A 13,559-nucleotide genomic window follows, 5' to 3' on the forward strand; every position below is an offset into this window, starting at 1 on the left:
GCTCTCCTTCAGTTTTGCCCCAGTCCGTGTTCCTCCGAAGCGCAGGGACACACATGTCCTTCCTGCCACGTAAGGCCGGCCTCGGGAGAGAATCTCCCGAACAGACCAAAACGTGTTTCCGCCCGGTTTCGAACCGGGGACCTTTCGCGTGTGAGGCGAACGTGATAACCACTACACTACGGAAACCACCTTGGCTACTTTCCTGCCGGCATCGTCCTGAAGACACACACGGCTGAGACGGCCGGGATAGCTCTAGGCAAGCGCCCTTGTAGGACAGGCCCGGGGACCCCTGCCGCGGCCGGCTGAGCGGTGTCCAGGTTCTGGAGCCGGACTTGTCCACCGCAGCCGAGTCCGCAGGTCCTGTAATGGCCTAGCATAGTTCACCCACGAGGGTTCGTGGTTTTTGGCGCGTTTGATCTGACATACTCAGAGGCCTGACCACCCCCCTAGGAAGCGCGACGTCCATCTGGAGTTTTCCCGCGAGCCGCCTTGAGAGCAGGGTAAGTTCTGCAGGCCCAGCCCTGGCGTCACGCTGTGTCTGGCACTCACTGGAGATTCTGTACATAAATCATGGCCCCGTCATTTTTCTCGCATCAAACAACATTTATTTATTTATGTATCGACATCAAATCTCTATAAAAATAAAATTTAAAGAGCTATTTAAGCATCAAGTATTATTTCTACCGCACAAAGCATCTATTTTTGCAGAGATGCTGTGAGAATGTAGATGTAATGATTCGTCACCACTTCTTCACTGCTGGGCAGTTAGGGAAGTTCATCTAAACCATGAGACAGTGTCCGGTTGGCAGTTTCTACCTCGGATGCGAAACGCCGACTACAGTTGGGGAAGGGTGGGGCGTCTGCTGCCCTAACCCGCGAAGCGCTTTCTCAGGCCCCGCCCCCGGTCCGACCCGGACGACCCTCTGAGTCCTCCACAACGAAGTCGTCTGCCTAGAAGGGCCGGAAGTACTTCAGGGCGCGCCGCGGACCCACCCCCTCGCTTCCGGCATCGGCTGTGGGGAGTACCGGCTGCAGTCGGCTGTGCCGGGAGGGTAGGATGGCGTCTGGCCGATGCGGTGATAGCACCGAAAGCAGACGGCCGCCAGGCGCTCCCCCTACCCCCCGAAGTTTCTCCCCAGCGGCGGGGGATGGGGGTAGGCGGTTCCTCTGTTCTTTCTGCGTTCCCCGCGGCCTCTTACCACAGAGACGCGGGCCTCCACCGTCCTAGCCCTCCCGCCCTGTTCTCTAGTGCGGACTAGAGCGTCTCCTCGCCATTTCCTGTCGCCCTGGGGCCCCGCGGGGAAAAAGGGGGAGTAGCAGGACAGCGGAGGGAAGTCGCGAGCTTAGGTGGTGTGTAGACGCCGGAAGTGTTGGGAAGGAGGCCGGAAGCTAGGGGCGGGGCCAGGAAGTGAGGAGGGGCGGGGGTTTATGAGGAGTCCAAGGGAGCATTGGGGCAGACTTGTACTCAGAGCCACCTGAGGGACTTGGCGGTGGCGCCCAGCACTGTCCCCTCCCCTCGTAGAGACACGGTTGTCGTTTGGGAGTAGGGAACACTGTGTTGGGGTGGGTTGTCGGCAGGACATCTCTCTGGCTGCTCTTGGGGCGAGGTGTGGAGGGGCAGGGCTGGGGGTGGAGCCGGGTCGCCAGGGCGTCGGTAGGGAAGACCCCCGCCCCTCGCCCCCCCACCGAACCTCTACACTGGCTGGCTGGACACTAAGATGGCTGCCGTTGCCATGACACCCAACCCTGTGCAGACCCTTCAGGAGGAGGCGGTGTGCGCCATCTGCCTCGATTACTTCACGGACCCCGTGTCCATCGGCTGCGGGCACAACTTCTGCCGAGTTTGTGTAACCCAGTTGTGGGGTGGGGAGGATGAGGAGGACAGAGATGAGTTAGATCGGGAGGAGGAGGAGGAGGACGGAGAGGAGGAGGAAGTGGAGGCTGTGGGGGCTGGCGCGGGGTGGGACACCCCCATGCGGGATGAAGACTACGAGGGTGACATGGAGGAGGAGGTCGAGGAGGAAGAAGAGGGTGTGTTCTGGACCAGTGGCATGAGCAGGTCCAGCTGGGACAACATGGACTATGTGTGGGAGGAGGAGGACGAGGAGGAAGACCTGGACTACTACTTGGGGGACATGGAGGAGGAGGACCTGAGGGGGGAGGATGAGGAGGACGAGGAGGAAGTGCTGGAGGAGGTTGAGGAAGAGGATCTAGACCCCGTCACCCCACTGCCCCCGCCTCCAGCCCCTCGGAGGTGCTTCACATGCCCTCAGTGCCGAAAGAGCTTTCCTCGGCGGAGCTTCCGCCCCAACCTGCAGCTGGCCAATATGGTCCAGGTGATTCGGCAGATGCACCCAACCCCTGGTCGAGGGAGCCGCGTGACCGATCAGGGCATCTGTCCCAAACACCAAGAAGCCCTGAAGCTCTTCTGCGAGGTAGACGAAGAGGCCATCTGTGTGGTGTGCCGAGAATCCAGGAGCCACAAACAGCACAGCGTGGTGCCATTGGAGGAGGTGGTGCAGGAGTACAAGGTGAGAGAAGTACAGAGAGAAGATGGGAGTTTAGTGGGGGGATGGAGAGGAAGTAAGGGGACCTGGGAAAAGGAAACATCTCTTCACCCACCAAAGAACCTCATGGTATTGGTGAGCCAAGTTTGCTTATCTAAGCACTTACTGCCACCAAGGTGGATTAGAATGAGAAGGATTCTGTACACAGAGCAGATGCAGTGAAGACGACCAGGGAAGGATGGCTTCCTCAAAGCAAATAGAGCAAAGCCGGTGATGCCAGATCAGGTCTCTAGGGCTTTACCAGAAGTCTCGTTTTCTTTCGGGTGAGTCTTAAGTCTGTCCTTGACGGAGACACCTAGAGATGGAAAGAACTGGGGGCTTCAAAGGACAAGAAAAGGCTCAGAAGCAGGAACACAGAGATAACTGCTAGTGTCAGTGTCAGACCCAAATGCTCTGCACTTGCCTCCCAGTGGGTTCCCCACCTACCACGATATGGCTTGGTTCTGTCTTCAAGGACTTTGGTTGGCTCTGTGTCATTCTTATGCACTGACTAGAAAGCAGGAGCTTTTCAGTCAGAAGACCTGGCTCTGCAAGTTGCATTGTCAAATCTTGATTAAGTCTGTGAGTGTCTTTGGACTTTAATTTGTCCAGGATTGATAGTTAATATTCACTGGACATTTATATGTATACCAGGCACTGTACTAGGCACTTTTCATGGACTGTCTCGTTAAAACCCAGACAACACTGAGTTTGATATGTTTTCCATTCCCATTTTATAGATTGGGAAACAAAGTCAGAGAGGCTTTAAGTACCATACAGAGGGCCACAGAGCTTCAGTAATAATTGACTTAGTTATTTACTGTCCCTTCCCCTGGTGTATACTAACAACGCCACCACCATTTGGATGTCTGTTGTTTGACTTTTCTGATGTGACTTTCTTGGAGTCTGATTCTAGTTTGACAAATACCTTGCCCCTACTTCTCATTTTGACTCTTCTTTGGACATAGGTAAAGGAGATTTGTTTGCAAGGCAGCCAGCACAAATAGCACTACTTAGTGAAGGCCTGGATGGGTTTGAAGCAGTGGGACCAGGAGGAGGAGGGGGTAGCCTCTGTGTGGTCTGCACAGAGCTTTTTTTGTTTTATAACTCATGTTTTCAGACCTTCTCCTGATTCCTGCTATAACTTCATTTAGGTATTATTTTCGTTACCCCAATTTTAGAGTAATGTGTCTAGGGTTTCTCAGCTCTGAGTGGTACAGCTAGACATACCTACATTACCTCATCACAAGTAACAATTTCTTTTACAGAGTGGCCTTTTTTTTTTTTAATTTTTTGAGACGGAGTCTCACTCTATTGCCCAGGCTGAAGTGCAGTAGCATGATCTCGGCTCACTGCAGCCTTCACCTCCCGGGTTCAAGTGATTCTCCTGCTTCAGCCTCCTGAGTATCTGGGATTACAGGCACTCGCCACCACAGCTGGCTGATTTTTGTATTTTTAGTAGAGATGGGGTTTCACCGTGTTGGCCAGGCTGTTCTGAAATTCCTGACCTCAGGTGATCCGCCTGTTTTGGCCTCCCAAAGTGCTGGGATTACAGACATGAGCCACTGTGCCTGGCTACACAAAGATTGTTAAACCTGCCTGATTGTTGGAATTACTAGGGGAGGTTTTCAAAAATACAGTGGATCCTACCACTAGAGTTTCTGAATCAGTGAGTAGGAGAATATCTTTAAAAAGCCCAGTCTAGCATGGGGATCACTGCATTGGTAACATTGCCTAGCTGTTAGTCCCTGCATTTTTAGCAGAGATTGTGAGGTCCTGTTGTCCTTTCCATCTCCTCAGTTCCTAGTTAACCATACCCATCATATCATGTGTGGTCACTTTGTGAACAGGAACCCAGGCCAAACTATCCATGGGCATTCCACCCTTTCTCTTTCACCTCCCCCTGTAGGACTGCTCCAAGGAGCTTCTGAAACTGGATTTTAATTTGCATTAGCCAAATTTGTTCAATGCCAGCTGCCTGAAATCCCGTATTAGGTCCTGAAGTAGGTGAGGAATTAAAAAAAGTCATAATCTCTTTTCTTTTCCCCCCTTTTTTTTTTTTTGAGACAGAATTTCACTCTTGTTGCCCAGGCTGGAGTGCAATGGCACAATCTTGGCTCACCGCAACCTCTGCCTCGGATTCAAGCGATTCTCCTGCCTCAGCCTCCCGAGTAGCTGGGATTACAGGCATGTGCCACCACACCTGGCTAATTTTTTGTATTTTTAGTAGAGACGGGATTTCTCCATGTTGGTCAGACTGATCTCGAACGCCTGACCTCAGGTGATCCGCCCAACTTGGCCTCCCAAAGTGCTAGGATTGCAGGCGTGAACCACTGCGCCTGGCCATACTCTCTTTTCTTGATCTGTTTACTGCGCTCTGCAGTTTGGGAGGCCATATACACATATTTAATCTGACATTAAGTGATGAGTAAATGTAAATACATAGTTTTATTGTATAGGACTAATTTGAGTGATTCCCTTTCTGACTTAATAGGCTATTTTACAAGTGGGTCATTTATTTTTTTATTTTTATTTTTTTTGAGATGGAGTCTCGCTCTGTCGCCCAGGCTGGAGTCCAGTGGCGTGTTCTCGGCTCACTGCAAGCTCCGCATCCCAGGTTCACGCCATTCTCCTGCCTCAGCCTCCCAGGTAGCTGGGACTACAGGCGACTGCCACCACGCCTGGCTAATTTTTTTGTATTTTTAGTAGAGACAGGATTTCACCATGTTAGCCAGGATGGTATCGATCTCCTGACCTTCTGATTTGCCCGTCTCGGCCTCCCAAAGTGCTGGGATTACAGGCGTGAGCACCGCGCCCAGCCACAAGTGGGTCATTTATTCTTTTCAGATATGTACATGCAGTAACCAGTAGCTTGGCAAAATGTTTTGTAAAAATTTTTTTTGTTGAATAGGTAATAACACACAAATGATATGTAAATATAGTTCCTGAACAGTTACATGTTTGTTTTGTTTTTTTTGAGACAGGGTCTCACTCTGGCCAGGCTAGAATGCAGTAGCATGATCATAGCTCACTGCAGCCTTGACCTTCTGGGTTCAGGTGATCCTGAGTAGTAGCTGGGACTGGAGGTGTGTGCCATCATGCCCAGCTAATTTTTTTTTTTTTTTTTTCGTGGAGACAGGGTCTTGCTGTGTTGCTCAGGCTGGTCTTGAACCACTGGCCTCAAGCAATCTTCCCATTTTGGCCCCTCAAAGTGCTGGGATTACTGTGTCTGCCCGACAGTTAAATGTTTTGAAAGTTGGCCGGGCATGGTGGCGGGTGCCTGTAGTCCCAGCTACTCGGGAGGCTGAGGCAGGAGAATGGCGTGAACCCGGGGGCGGTGGAGCTTGCAGTGAGCTGAGATCACGCCACTGCACTCCAGCCTGGACAACAGAGCGAGACTCTGTCTCAAAAAAAAAAAGAAAAAATGTTTTGAGAATTTCTCTTATAACTGGCTGGCTGTGGTGGCTCACGCCTGTAATCCCAGCACTTTGGGAGGCTGAGGCAGGTGGATCACTTGAAGTCAGGAGTTCAAGACCAGCCTGGCCAACATGGTGAAATTCCGTCTCTACTAAAAATACAAAATTAGCCAGCATGATGGCATGTGCCTGTAATCCCAGCTACTCGGGAGGCTGGGGCAAGAGAATCGCTTGAACCTGGGAGGCAGAGGTTGCAGTGAGCCAAGATTGTGCTACTGCATTCCAGCCTGGGCAACACAGCGAGACTCCCATCTCAAAAAAAAAAAAAAAAAAAAAAAGGAAATATATCTTAAATAGAACTCTGTTTGAATTTGTGCTTATTAATTTTTGTTTTTGTCAGCAATTTAGGGTCCCGGCACGGTGGCTCACACCTGTAGTCCCAGCACTTTGGGAGGCAGAGGTGGGCAGATCACTTGAGGGCAGGAGTTAAGACCAGCCTGGCCAACATGGTGAAACCCTGTCTCTACTAAAAATACAAAAATTAGCCAGGTGTGGTGGTGGGCACCTTTAATCTCAGCTACTCGGGAGGCTGAGGCAGGAGAATTGCTTGAACCCAGGAGTTGGATGTTGCAGCGAGCCGAGATGGCACTGCTGCACTCCATTCTAGGCGACAGAGCAAGACTCTGTCTCAAAAAAAAAAAAAAAAAAAAAAAAACAGTAAATGGTAAATTTAAGCGTTATAAATTCTGAATTAATGGAGAAATTATTGACTAGAAAAGTAGAAAGTTATATCAGAAGGCCAAATTTTGTGTAGTTCATGCTATTGTCACGAGTTGACTATAATTCCATTATTACTGTAATTTTGTCTACAACCACTTATCCTGTGCAGCAACTGCTGTTTGCACTCTGGCTTGGTAAACTCTTTAGTTCAGGGGTCATTATCAGGATGTCACTGGCAGCTTAAGGTATAGGGAACAAATATTAGATAACATTTACTGATCTTCTGCTACATGCCAGGCACTGCAGTAAGTGTGCTATCCATGAGGTCCATTCTCTTCTTATTTGAAGCTGAGGAAACTGAAAGCATGGCTTGCCTGAGGTCACTTCACTTCCCTCTGGTCCTGACTGGAGTCAGGCTGGAGCTCTCCTACCCTATATTCTCTCTCAAAGAAAAGGAGACAGGCTAGTAGAAGACATAGAAAAGGTAAGAGCAAATAGGTAGGGCTTATTCCACTCATTCTGGGCTAACAGCCCTTTAAAGAAAAGTATTTGGCTACAAATTGTAGAAACACAGAGCTCGTGTGCCTATTGGCTATAACAGTTACAACCTTTGGAAGAGGGGTTTCGGTGTCCTTTGCCATTTAGCAAGTAATTGAGCAGGAGAGAAAGCAGATGAGCAGAAAGAAGCAAAGAAGTTGAAATAAGTAGAGTGTGGGCAGGGACTCCGCAGTGTCCTGGAGGAGGCACACCTGTCATTGGTGCCCTGGGAACTCATGTATTAGATATTTCTTGGGATCACAGAGGATGTTGGGGGTGGGGAGGATCAGGGCCATTTTCAGGGAGCTGTTTTAAAGGAAGAATACCTTGGGCCAAGTGGAGAAAGGCACTCCCAGACAGAGGGAACAGCATGGAATTATACTCAGGAAATGACAAGTAATTTTATGTGGTCAAACGTGTTAAGAGTCTGTGTGGAAGGCGTTGAGTGTAGAGGTGAGGCTGGAAGTGTGGGGTCAATGTTTTGGAAGTGGTGGTGACCCATGGAAAGGTTTTAGCATAGGAAAAAAATCATCAGAAAAGTATTTAGAGAGAAGAGTTCTGGGGAAGATCGCCTGTGAAGGGGAAGGGGACCAAAGGTGAGGGCACCCCTGGAAAGACTCTGGTGCGGGGCTCAAGCCACTTCCCCTCAGCTGTGAGCGTGGGAGCTCTCTAGTCTTGAGGCTCCTACCTTTAGAGAATACACACAGGGCCGGCCGGGCGCGGTGGCTCACGCCTATAATCTCAGTACTTTGGGAGGCTGAGGTGGACGGATCACGAGGTCAGGAGATTGAGACCATCCTGGGTAGCATGGCGAGGTGAAACCACGTCTCTACTAAAAATAAAAAAATTAGCCAGGCGTGGTGGTGGGCACCTGTAGTACCAGCTACTGGGAAGGCTGAGGCAGGAGAATCGCTTGAATCCGGGAGGTGGAGGTTCCAGTGAGCCAAGATCGTGCCACTGCACTCCAGCCTGAGCGACAGAGCGAGACTCTGTCTCAAAAAAAAAAAAAAAAAAAAAAAAAAAAAATACACACAGGGCTTCTGCAGACGTGCACAGAGGGATTGGAGGCTTTTGTCATCATCTGAAAGAAGAAAGTGGAGGAAGGTATAATACTCACTTGACACCCATTTTCGGGGGTAGGGATCAGGCTTTGACCCATCTTGCTATAGGGAGGATTGCAGAGGTAGGCTCTGAAGGGCAGGTGCCTCTCCCAGCCCCCACTTTTCTTTTTCTGTTTCCTCAGGCCAAACTGCAGGGGCACGTGGAACCACTGAGGAAGCACCTGGAGGCAGTGCAGAAGATGAAAGCCAAGGAGGAGAGGCGAGTGACAGAACTGAAGGTGGGTGAATGTTCTCGACGGGGCTGATGGGCAGTACAGTCGAGGCAAGGAAGGTAGGGCTTCCCACTCTCACAGGGAGTGACTTGGTCCCCTGAGGAGGGGACAGCTAAGGCCTGGGAGAGGGGTAGATGCTTTCCCTAGGTGCTGAGGAGAGCGGGGCCTTAGAGAATCAGGAGGCATGTTCATTCCTGGTTCCAAAATGGAGTGGAAACTGAGGCCTGGATTGGAGGGCCTAGGTGCCTGGCCCAAGGCTGCAGAACAGGCTTTCTACCCGACACCAGAGCCTGAAGGGGGCAAAGCAAAACCCACATAGCAGCCATCAGAGAAGCTGCCGGCCCCAGGATCCATGCAGGCACTGGGCAGAGCAGCCCTAAGCATGAGGCGGACACTGTCCTGGGACACTTGCTGTGTCCTGAGAGGGGGCCAGTGTGTTTAAGCTGGGGCAGGATTTAGTGTATGTTAGCACTGCAGAGACCTAATATTTCCTAGTCTAGTGTTTTCTCAGCACACCCCGACCCCCCCGCTTTTTTTGTTGTTTTTTTCCATTATTGCTCGCCCTTCTCCAAGGAGTCTTTTAAGATACATTTTCCATCCCCACCTCCCGCCTGTTTTCATAACCCCAGCAGGTCCTGCTGGGATGGGCTGGCACTGTGAGCTTCATAGACCAAGCCAGGACCTCCCCTTCTGTCCCTCTTCCCTCCTCCCTTCCCAGCCAGTGCCTGGGCCTTGCCACTACCCAGGGCCCATGCTCACTGCCACCTGAACGTTAGGGACTCTGCTGCTGGCGACTGCTAGGCACTGAATGGTAGGATCTGTCTGGGAGTAGGAAGTCATCGTGCTTCTGGCCAGCTGCCCAAGTTGATACTTTTGGGCTCTCCTGGGTATAGAGGTAACAGGAGCTGTGTGCCCCTGGCATAGAGTGAAGCTGACTGTGGCGGCTGTTCCCTCACGCGTCTGGTCAGTTGGGACCCTCCTCTGGCCTGCTGCTCACAGCGTCTGCAGCCGATGGTAGCTGTGTGAAAAGTGTGCCTACCACCCAGGAAGGGCCATCCCTGGCAAATAGGGTGGGACTGGGCAGGAGTTTTTTCTGTTACAGGATATTAAGTCCCTACATAATATCCTTGATTTTTGCCTCTTAGCCCACAAAGCATAAAAATACTTACTATCTGGACCTTCACAGAAAAAGTTTTTCCGAGTTCTGATCTGGGGCTTTTGGGTGACTTTCTTAAGGTCACTGTGTTTAATGGCGTCGGGACCCTAACTTCATGTTTTGATTCCTGAATTCTTTTATTTATTCATTTCAAAAATTTTTACCAGGTGCCTACTCTGATTGGTACTATGTCAGGGTCCGAGGACCCTGGCAAACAAAGACATTCCTAGTCCCTGTCAGTGGGAGCTCATGGTACAGTGGGGGAAAGGATGTTAACAGTTACGTCATTTAAACACAACGTTTCAATATTATATGTGCCACAGAGAGATACAGTGATATTTGTGGGGATGGTCCCGATTTAGATCTGGAGAGGAGGGAAGGCTTGTCTTGGAATATTTAAGGTTGGACCTGAAGGATGAGTCAACTTAGGTAGAGTCAGGTGGAGAGGAGTGTTCCAGGCAGAGGTTAGTGAGTTTGAGACCACTGTGCTGGGAGCAAGGGGGTGGTATCTGGTAAGGCTGGTAGGGGATGAGCCTCTTTCCGGGACTATCTTGGACCTGGGGAGTGTAGGGCTCCTTTGCCTTGCATTGAGAAGTAGTAGTTGCAAAACTGGAGGTTATCTTCGTACGTGTTGAGGTGGTGTCTGCCATCCCCTTTGCACCATTCCAGAGCCAGATGAAGTCAGAGCTGGCAGCGGTGGCCTCGGAGTTTGGGCGACTGACACGGTTTCTGGCTGAAGAGCAGGCAGGGCTGGAACGGCGTCTCAGAGAGATGCATGAAGCCCAGCTGGGGCGTGCGGGAGCCGCGGCTAGTCGCCTTGCAGAACAGGCCGCCCAGCTCAGCCGCCTGCTGGCAGAGGCCCAGGAGCGGAGCCAGCAGGGGGGTCTCCGGCTGCTCCAGGTGAGCAATGTCCCCTCCCTGTTCCCCCAGCATTCTGTGTTGGCTGTCAGGCAGTGCTTACCAAACGCCTGTCCAGAGCTGCCTCTTTTCTCCCTGGGAGGAACCCACAGTGATTGAACCTGAAGACCAAAAACATGTTTTAAAGCTGGAAACAGAGTTAATGTCGAATGTGGTATGTGTGGCGATTATACCCAGTGAAAAGCATGAAGATTCGGTTGTAGGAGAGGTTTAAATGACAGTTGAGGAAAGTCTTTTTGACAGTGACATCCTGAAAAAGGTGAGCAAGTCGTATTGTGGAAATGACAGTATCCCTGGGCTCACAGCAGGATGAGGCGAGTTAGGTATGGCGAGGCATGGGGTGGTTGAAATGGATGTGTGTTCATTGAGGGCCGTGAGGGTGCTGCTTCTCCCTTCCTGCTCAGGTTCAGTCTCTGACTGGAGATCGGGGAACGCTGTCCCTGTGCAGCTGACACTCTCTTTATCTCTTTCTCCCTCTCCCTCTTTTTGTTTCTCTTATTCCCAGGACATCAAGGAGACTTTCAATAGGTGTGTTCCCAGTCTTTGCCCTTCGTGACCCAGTGGCATCTGGTTCCCTGTCCCTGCTTCTCTTCGGTATCCCTCTCCTCTCCTTCCTTCCCCAGGACCTGAGTTTCCATCTCCTGGACCCTCCTCTCCTTCCCCTCAGCTTTTGCTTTTCCCTCTGGGAATATCGTGGTCCCACCCCCTGCCCGGTCCCCTTCCTCCAGGTGTGAAGAGGTACAGCTGCAGCCCCCAGAGGTCTGGTCCCCTGACCCGTGCCAACCCCATAGCCATGACTTCCTGACAGATGCCATCGTGAGGAAAATGAGCCGGATGTTCTGTCAGGCTGCGAGAGGTAGGGAGGTCACCTCCACGACCTTCCTTTGCCTTTCCCTTCACAGACCTGAGACTGGGTCCTGAGGGAAGTTGGGCCCCAGGGAAACTGTGGGGCTTGAGATGGAGCAGGATCCAGGCAGCCACTCTGAGGTTGAGGTTTCAAGCCATGAGCAGGTAGACCTAGTGCAGGCAGGCCTGGAGGGTGGGGTGGGGTGGAGTGGCAGGAAGAGCCAGGCTGGGGGAAGACCTGTCAGGTATCCTAGGAACAAGAGTGAGGAGCAAGATGAGCCTGCAGGAATCTGAGGCTGGCCTCTGGGATGGTGTGGGGAGCTGGATTCAGGGAGAAAGGGGGCCCAATCTGTGGAGTTGGCTGCTGACAGGGGAACAGCCGTTCCAGCCCTGGCGTATTTGTCCTCCCTCCCTCCCAAGTGGACCTGACGCTGGACCCTGACACGGCTCACCCGGCCCTGATGCTGTCCCCTGACCGCCGGGGGGTCCGCCTGGCAGAGCGGCGGCAGGAGGTTGCTGACCATCCCAAGCGCTTCTCGGCCGACTGCTGCGTACTGGGGGCCCAGGGCTTCCGCTCCGGCCGGCACTACTGGGAGGTAGAGGTGGGCGGGCGGCGGGGCTGGGCGGTGGGTGCTGCCCGTGAATCAACCCATCATAAGGAAAAGGTGGGCCCTGGGGGTTCCTCCGTGGGCAGCGGGGATGCCAGCTCCTCGCGCCATCACCATCGCCGCCGCCGGCTCCACCTGCCCCAGCAGCCCCTGCTCCAGCGGGAAGTGTGGTGCGTGGGCACCAACGGCAAACGCTATCAGGCCCAGAGCTCCACAGAACAGACGCTGCTGAGCCCCAGTGAGAAACCAAGGCGCTTTGGTGTGTACCTGGACTATGAAGCTGGGCGCCTGGGCTTCTACAACGCAGAGACTCTAGCCCACGTGCACACCTTCTCGGCTGCCTTCCTGGGCGAGCGTGTCTTTCCTTTCTTCCGGGTGCTCTCCAAGGGCACCCGCATCAAGCTCTGCCCTTGATTATCCTGCCACCCGCAGGGGCCCCTCTGTCAGCACTTGGGGGGTGGGTGGTGGAGGGTGGCCCGTAAGTTTGAGGGCTCAAAGGCTCTTCCCACTGCTTGTTACTGTGTTGCTTCCCACTCCCCCTTGACCCCAGGCCCCTGCTTCTCCCTCTAGGAGCCTAAAGAACCCTCCTGGCCTCCAGCTCAGCCTTCTCTCACCTACTATGTCTGTCCAACAGGTCTGCATGGGTCCCTGATAATGAGAACAGCTGCCTGGTCTTCTCTCCCAGTCTGCCTAGCCCAGCCCTGGGACTGGAATTTGAGTAGGGGATGAGGGGAAATTGTAATTTCATTCCTTAACTTCCTTTTCCCCACCCCTGCTCTTCAACCTCTTTATCAGTTCTGAGGCTGGAGGGTTTGGGCAAGGCAACATCCCCATTCCAATTCCATTTTCTGATGCAGATTTTAGCTGAGGGATTTGGAAGCCATTTGGGGAGGCAGGCTGGGCCAAAGGGTAGAGCTGGGTAATAAATGTCTATTCTCCTGGGGAGGAGGGATTCTAAACTTTCCTTCCGTCCTCAATTTCTACCTCCATAGACCGGCCAGAATTTAGCTTCACTTGAGAGAGATCTGGAATGGTCGCCATGATTGAAACCACGCACCATTACATCATCATTACATTAATTACATCAACATAAATTATTTCTTCCCCCTTCCCTTTTCCAGCACTCAACCAAGGAGCAAAGCTCATCCCACCCCACACCCCTCCCAGGTCTGCTCACTGCCAGGCTCCTCTCCCCTTTGTTCAGTGGAGCTGGCTTTTCTCCCAGCCCCTTTCCATGCCTTTCACTCCATTTGGCAAGCTCTGAGGGGGAGCCTGGGGACGGGTTTGGGTCCCCAGGAGGAGAGCCTTGGGTATAATCTATTTTTCTAGGAGCCTCTTGCCTTGTCACTTGCAGCTTTCGCCCTCTGCTTTGATGGCTGAGGTGAACTCATGTTCTTTGGGAAAAGGGAAGGCGTGCTGTGGAAATAAAATGTTTATTTGCTTCTCTTGTGAGGTCTGTTCCTTCAGGTGAGGGTGTAA

At 52.2% G+C, this 13,559-nt stretch overlaps 1 protein-coding gene and 2 non-coding genes across 10 annotated transcripts, besides 4 other annotated features; 1 reads left to right on the plus strand and 2 right to left on the minus strand.

Moving 5' to 3' along the window:
- Positions 39-268: a silencer, noted in NCBI's record as "silent region_16793". NCBI's record gives its function as "represses an Ori minimal core promoter by ATAC-STARR-seq in GM12878 lymphoblastoid cells {active_cell/tissue: GM12878}" and the evidence as "EXISTENCE:reporter gene assay evidence [ECO:0000049][PMID:35858748]".
- TRV-CAC1-5 (tRNA-Val (anticodon CAC) 1-5) lies at positions 114-186 on the minus strand. The gene has a single exon. It is a non-coding gene; the product is annotated as a tRNA-Val (tRNA).
- MIR4638 (microRNA 4638) lies at positions 285-352 on the minus strand. The gene has a single exon (NR_039781.1). It is a non-coding gene; the product is annotated as a microRNA 4638 (primary transcript).
- Positions 999-1,228: an enhancer, noted in NCBI's record as "active region_23787". NCBI's record gives its function as "activates an Ori minimal core promoter by ATAC-STARR-seq in GM12878 lymphoblastoid cells {active_cell/tissue: GM12878}" and the evidence as "EXISTENCE:reporter gene assay evidence [ECO:0000049][PMID:35858748]".
- Positions 1,000-13,527, plus strand: TRIM41 (tripartite motif containing 41). 8 transcript variants are annotated; one of them, XM_006714932.4, is made up of 8 exons: positions 1,000-2,531; positions 8,463-8,558; positions 10,378-10,608; positions 11,132-11,154; positions 11,355-11,482; positions 11,893-12,074; positions 12,651-12,714; positions 13,073-13,527. In XM_006714932.4, the coding sequence occupies exons 1-8, from the start codon at positions 1,719-1,721 to the stop codon at positions 13,096-13,098; spliced, it is 1,563 nt and encodes a 520-aa protein (XP_006714995.1). In that variant the 5' UTR covers positions 1,000-1,718; the 3' UTR covers positions 13,099-13,527. The 8 variants fall into 8 exon arrangements, 7 of the variants coding, with proteins under 7 accessions (XP_006714995.1, NP_963921.1, XP_006714994.1 ...); NM_201627.3 differs by having other exon boundaries at positions 11,893-12,068; XM_006714931.4 differs by having other exon boundaries at positions 11,893-12,064.
- Positions 1,539-1,748: a silencer, noted in NCBI's record as "silent region_16794". NCBI's record gives its function as "represses an Ori minimal core promoter by ATAC-STARR-seq in GM12878 lymphoblastoid cells {active_cell/tissue: GM12878}" and the evidence as "EXISTENCE:reporter gene assay evidence [ECO:0000049][PMID:35858748]".
- Positions 1,896-2,893: an enhancer, noted in NCBI's record as "H3K27ac-H3K4me1 hESC enhancer chr5:180651177-180652174 (GRCh37/hg19 assembly coordinates)". NCBI's record gives its function as "activates a minimal SCP1, AML or CMV promoter by ChIP-STARR-seq in primed H9 embryonic stem cells {active_cell/tissue: H9 hESC(primed)}" and the evidence as "EXISTENCE:reporter gene assay evidence [ECO:0000049][PMID:30033119]".

Source organism: Homo sapiens, chromosome 5 (assembly GCF_000001405.40).
Source record: "Homo sapiens chromosome 5, GRCh38.p14 Primary Assembly".
NCBI lineage: Eukaryota > Metazoa > Chordata > Mammalia > Primates > Hominidae > Homo > Homo sapiens.